The sequence below is a fragment of the Homo sapiens genome, chromosome 2, assembly GCF_000001405.40.
Source record: "Homo sapiens chromosome 2, GRCh38.p14 Primary Assembly".
NCBI classification, from domain to species: Eukaryota; Metazoa; Chordata; class Mammalia; order Primates; family Hominidae; genus Homo; species Homo sapiens.
Window position 1 is genome coordinate 35,796,642 of NC_000002.12, and position 7,208 is coordinate 35,803,849.

Here is a 7,208-nt window from a genome sequence, read left to right on the forward strand (position 1 = left end):
CCGGCCCAGAACATGACTGGAATGGTAATTATACGTCAGAGTCCCAAGTGGAAGTCTAGCCAGGAGACTGGTAAGGACACCCACCCAGAATAAGAAAAGAGCTGCAAATATTCCATCAGCCCAGGCTATCGCTGGTTTAAGGATTAGATAATTTTGAGCCTGCAGGTGGGAGAGTTTTAGAGCCCACAGCTGTGGAAAATGGCACTGGCCCTAATTGGTAACATCTGCAGATGTAGCCAAGCACACACTTTCCCACCAGTTGTAACACATCCCCAAAATGCAGCAACTACAAATATTACCCAACTCCCAGAATGCACTCTAACTACCTACAGTAGAATACAGTATGTCAGGGAGCAGGAAATTTACCACTACAAGGACCCAACTGAAGGGGAAACTAAAAGAGGAGGGAAATGCAGAAGGCAAGTTCCAGATACTTTCTCCTAAAATTTGTACATGCAAATCAGTACCGGGTATATTTCACACCGACTTCACTTGAGTAACTTTCCTTGCAAGATTTTCACAAAATTGAAGGTGTAGAGGACATTTAGATTCCAATTCCAACCCACAGGCATGTGGCAGGTAGTATTTGATCTTTCAGGCTAAAATGGAAGAGCAAGTGCAGATGGAGTGATTTCCTGTGCCAACCAGAAAGCAATAAGCAATGTGGTATCCAACTGCGCAGGGGCATGCACTTCATCCATCCCATTAAAAATCCCGCACACAGGAGAGGAAGTACCTCAGCAGATACAGGAGCCCTAATTTTATCAACAATAGTCCTCTGACAAAGGGAGTGAGTGATTTTCTTCTAAATGAGAACAAATATTTCACAAGCACAGTTGGAAGAACCTAGCAGTTCAAGCTGGCAGTTTTAAAAATACAAACAATTAAATGTTTGGCTATAAAATAATTTCAGAAACCTTATTTAGGACCAAAGCCAGCTCTGGTAGTTTGAAACAAACATAGTGTGTTTCATTAAGGGGCTCGGGAAGTAACATAAAATATTTTCCACCAAATTTGCCTCCAGGTAGTTGTACAGAAATTCAGTCAGCAATTTTAGTATAATTTGAGAAGAAGTAGCAGGCAGTCCCTTCAGCAACTAAAGACACATCTCAAATGATAAATAAAATGGAGTCAACTCAGCTCTAAAGGTAATCAATCCTGCATGGCACTGAGAGTAAAGAAAATAAAGTAGTAAAGGAAACAAACAACACTAATCTTTACATAAAGGAGTTAAGATTCAGTGAGGATGAAGAGTAGGAAAGCCCGTGGAAGAGATGACAAAACAAGCACTCGCTTGAATTCTAAGCAGAATAAGTAACTAGAACCCAAATGGGAAACGGTTAACACAGTCAATCTGTCTACAAACAGATAACGAAATACTAATGAGATTGATTGTTGCTGTTTCAGAAATGAACCAAGAGAATTTACTTTTAAGAGCTTTCGACAGGATCAGACAACCTCTAGCCATCATAAGAGAGAGAAATTCATCCAGCACCCACATGCCAACCTACTCCAAGACCCTGGAAGGGAGTATTCTTATATTTTCCTGACATTCAAACATCATTTACCTTCTAACAGTATGTGAATATAAGGCAGTATAGTAAAATGAATATATCATGGATTTGGTAGCACAGAATTAAGGCTTAAACCTAATTCTGCAAATTACAAGGTATATAACCTTGGCCAGATTCCCTCACCCCTCTAAGCTTTCATATATACAGATATTTTCAAGAGAAGACAGGATCTACTTCATAAGAATGCCTTCAGGATTATATGAGGCAAAGTTGGAAGCCAATGGAATACTCCTCGATTATTGAAAATTCTTGCGAATATATGCAGATCAAAATGGAAATACAACTATATGTAATTCTATTCAATTAGTAAATCTGTCCTGAAATTGAGTTACATCATCTGATTTCATAGATGAAGAAATTGAAACTGATTTCCTAGAGTCTTCTTTCTCTTTTCAAATGACGCCAACCAAATCAGATAAAGCTAAAACAAATCTGTTCAGGCATAGGGTCATCAATCATCTGTGTAAGCTTTTTAATTGTCAACAAAGGACCTCAAAACCATTAAGAATTTTGAGGAATGGAGCCTAATGCCCCGAGAGTCTCTTCTTAATACTGTACCAATTTCCAACTCATCATTTTTTTATATTTGCTTGTTTGCTCATTTGTTTCTCCCCTAGGAGTTTGATCAACTTTGCTGTTTTACTGATACTATTGGCTTTACTAATCACTTGCTTCAGTCTGAGAGTGAAATAGAAATGGAATCCTATTATTTATTTCCCTATAATTTTATAGTTTATTTTGAAATATCTAGAAAATCTAGAAAAATAGACAAGGAACTAACAAACTGTTAGACCCAAAATGTAGACACAGCACAGATCAAAACAAACACAAATCTATCAGACATCACTAACACCCTGTGAAATAATGTAATCTTATTTTCAGAGGTGTAGAGTTGTCAAAATCCCTTACAGCTGGCACTAAGAAAGTGACGGTAATTTGGGGGAGTCCACGTGGTTCATGACTTAGCTGTGACCCATTAACAGTTTTTCCCATCTCAGTTTATTTCTGCCCTGTTTGCTCTGTCTGAAGGGTATTCTCTAGCCAGTTATTAAAACGAAGCCACCATACAGTGAAGTGAAGCATCTTTATTTATTACTCCAAGGAAACCAGCATTGCCCAGACTCACCAGAGTTATGTAAACATCCTGTCACTTCGAGAACCTCAGGCAGAGTAAATCGATGGAAGACAGTGGTCTAGATTCCACACCCACGCAGACATACATGCTTTTGTTGCTTTTTGTTTGGGCTTTGGTTTATATAGTGTGGTGGTCCCTGAGTACGATCCTCAGGAATCTGTTCTAGAACAAGAACAAGAACAACAACAATAACAACAAAAACCTCACTGCCTGGTGTGGTGACTCGTGCCTGTAATCCCAGCACTTTGGGAAGCCGAGGTGGGCAGATCACTTGAGGTCAGGAGTTCAAGACCAGCCTGGCCAACATGGTAACATTTTCTCTCTACTAAAAATACAAAAATTAGCCAGGCATGGTGGTATGCACCAGTAGTCCCAGCTATTTGGGAGGCTGAGGCAGGAGAATTGCTTGAACCTGGGAGTTGGAGGTTGCAGTGGGCAGAGATCACACCACTACACTCCAGCATGGGAGATAGAGTGAGACTCCGTCAAAAAAAAAGAAAAAAGAAAAGAAAAAAGAGAGAGAAAGAAAAAAGAAAAGTAATTGAGGCATGTGGGCTAACAACATCGACAACAACTGCAAGGTCTATAGAACTGCAGAAACTTAATCCAGTCTATCATTGTTGGACATTTGGGTTGGTTCCAAGTCTTTGCTATTGTGAATAATGCCGCAGTAAACATACATGTGCATGTGTCTTTATAGCAGCATGATTTATAATCCTTTGGGTATATACCCAGTGATGGGATGGCTGGGTCAAATGGTATTTCTAGTTCTAGATCCTTGAGGAATTGCCACACTGACTTCCACAATGGTTGAACTAGTTTACAGTCCCACCAACAGTGTAAAAGTGTTCCTATTTCTCCACATCCTCTCCAGCACCTGTTGTTTCCTGACTTTTTAATGATCGCCATTCTAACTGGTGATTAAGAAAATGTGGCACATACACACCATGGAATACTATGCAGCCATAAAAAATGATCAGTTCATGTCTTGTAGGGACATGGATGAAGCTGGAAACCATCATTCTCAGCAAACTATCACAAGGACAAAAAAACCAAACACCGCATATTCTCACTCATAGGTGGGAATTGAACAGTGAGAACACATGGACACAGGAAGGGGAACATCACACACCGGGGCCTGTTGTGGGGTCAGGGGAGGGGGGAGGGATGGTATTAGGAGATATACCTAATGTTAAATGACGAGTTAATGGGTGCAGCACACCAACATGGCACATGTATACATATGTAACAAACCTGCACATTGTGCACATGTACCCTAAAACTTAAGGTATAATAATAATAATAAAAAAGAACTGCAGAAACTTGAGCCAATCCTAGACCTATCAAATTAGAATCTGTAAGTTACCAAGATCTTAGGAGGTATCTATATGCATTAAAGCTGATAAATGCTATGTTTAGGGCTCAACCTTTAACTTAAGGCAGTTGAGAACCATGCTACCAAGCTAAAATGAGTCAAAAGGGGAAGTGTGAACTGGGAAAATCTGTTAAGTCTGTCCAGTATTATGGGATCAAATTATTGGTTGGTGGGAAGTTGAAAAAAGGAAGGAATGCCATTGATTCCATTCAGCTTGTGCACTGTGGTTTTTTTATATAGTTCTATTGCAGTCTCAGTGGAAGGGCCTCTTAAGTGGGAGGCTCCACAAAGACCAAACCTTGCTGCCTTTTCTTACACTGGATTTTGCCTGTGAGAATAGAGAGGCAGGATTCTCCTGCTGCCACAGAAGGTCCATACTCCTCCTCTTCTCACTACATCAAAAGCCTTGTTCTGATAATTTGCTCCAGAGCCAATCTCTCTATTCTGGTTCCCTTCGTGGATGATTTATCCATCTTACCAGTATGTGATGTGGAGTTCACTAGGCTGACATGATTGTAGAGGAATATTCAGGAGAGGTATGTTTGGTTTATAGTTTCCATAGCTGATTAATCAGCTGGGACTGATAAATGGCCATCCAGGCTGGAATTTAGATAGGAAATTTGTGGAAAATGGAAGTGAGGGATTTTGTAATAGATGCCCTGTATTCACTGCAGCAGGCAGTTAAAATGTGTCCTTTGTCTGAGGGACTGAGCCCTGCAACCTACAATTGCTAGACCTTTGTATCCACTGGCTTCCAGTTACATTTGACAAATGGGAGTCACTGGAAGAGGATTAGAAAGAGCAGAGGAGGAGAGAAGCCATAGAATTTCTCTCATGGCTCTACTTTCAGAACTGTCTCTGGCAATGGCTTCATCTCCTTATAGCTGAATTTCACCGGAGTCCTTTCACCATATTTTCGTCTCATGCAAGGGACTCTTCCTATCATAATTCCAGCTCTGGCTTAGCAAGGCGCCTATCACGGTAATTCCTATTTTTTCCATGCAGCCCTACTCATGGGTTCTGGCGACATCACCTCCTCCCATTGTCCTCCCACAGGGGCTTGGAACAGCATCCAATTACTGCCCCTTCAGCTCTTCTCAAACCTTGTAAACTTGTTCTTTGTGTTTATTTCCTTTTACCGAACAGTTTAGAAAGGTTTCCATTTCACTGGCCTCTCTCTGACTGATACGCTGAACTTATATTCTACAAGCTTAAGCATCAATAGCCTCTCTTTGGGAAATCCGTCCCAGTGGGAAATGTCACTGAAATTAACCTTCAGGCATAGAACGAGAAACATAGAATTTTGTTTCTAGAAAGAGGTTTTGGAATTATCCAAGCCCATCATTTCAGAAATGAGGAGCTATTTCCAAGATACAATAAGTTCCATGCCCAGTCTTATACAGTTATTAAATGGGAATGCCAAGACGAGCTCTGTCCATATTGAGTGTGCTTCCACTGTTCTACATTTCTTCTATGGTATATTTGTTGGCTTCATGAAACCATATGCATGGTTGATACCAAATGTTGTAGATAGATAAATATTTCAGTGCTACTAGCCAAAGTTATATTAGAGGAAATTAATGAGCATGTTCAGAGTAATGTGCTTTACATATACATAAATTTTTACCAAATGTATAGGAACCTATCAAATATAGTTGAAATTAACCATGACAACCTAAATTTCTAATATAGGAGATATTTGTTTTTATGTGAATGGAGATATAAAAGAGACTGAAAGAAGAGTTAAAACATTAAAAAATGACATAAATGGGAAAAAAAGAGCGTTAAGACCATAAAATAGCCTGTTGACAGTTATTGGTGGGGAATTTCATGGGAAGAGAATGACATCAGAGTTAAGTAAACATGGCAAATTAAGAATTTAGAAAAGCAATATGGGATTTACAAGAAAATTATGCAATAATATTTATTTTAAGGGAGAAACATTGCTGAATAAACACCTTAAGAAGTTAAAGAAATGCATTATTGTAAAAGGCACAATCCTGGAGGTGCTGCATAAAATCATCAGACTGAAAGGCTCAATTTAGGGCAGAGATCAATCGACAAGATAAAAGAAAAAAGGAATAAAGTTATTTAAGTGCATTTCTGGCATCTACAGCAGTTCTGAACAGGTGGTATAATGTTGGAATTAAAAACATAAAATCCAAAATCAAACTATTTGGGCTCAAATATAAGCTCTGTCATTTATGTGTTGTGTATATTTGTTAAGGTAGCCCAGGATTCAATTAAAAAAAAAAATAGGAAGGGGGGTGAGGTGCCACTACTGCCCGCATTTTTTGAGTGAGTTCAGCATGTGCGTGAGCGAGTGAGCAAAAAGAAGAGTGCATGGTGGCACCAGGAGGCTGGGCTGAGTGGTTTTGAGAGATTACCTGAAGTTGGATTCAAAAGCAAGATCTACTACTAACTTTGTAATGAAATAAGATATTGAGAAACCATTGATGGTTCTGGGGCAGATGAAGGTACTTACTCGGATAGTTGAGGCCTGTCCCAGAAAGTCATTGTAGTGTTAACTGCAACAAGTTGGTTTATAGCTGATGCTCTCTGGAAAGCACTACCTCCTGGCAGGAGGCCAACTGGCACAAAAATAGAGCATTAAACCACTAAAGCTAAGAACCCTCAGGGAGTCCATTGCACTGCCCCACCCCCCAACATCTTGACTGGAACAGCCGCCGGTATCCACAGCTTAGAGACCCACAGATGGTTCATATCACAGGACTCTGTCCAGACAACCCCCAGTACCAGCCCACAGCCAGGTAGACTCGCTGGTGGCTAGGCCCAGAAGAGAAAATAATCACTGCAGTTCAGTTCATAGGAAGCCATATCCATAGGAAAACAGGGAGAGAACTTCATCAAGGGAACACCTCGTGGGACAAAAGACTCTGAACCACCCTAGACCTTCCCTTTGACAGAGCCTTCAACCCTAGACCTTCCCTCTGACAGAACCTACCCAAATGAGAAGGAACCAGAAAACCAACTCTGGTAATATGAAAAAACAAGGCTCTTCATCACCCCCAAAATATCGCACTAGTTCACCAGCAATGGATCCAAACTCAGAAGAAATCCCTGATTTACCTGAAAAGGAATTCAGGAGGTTAGTTATTAAGCT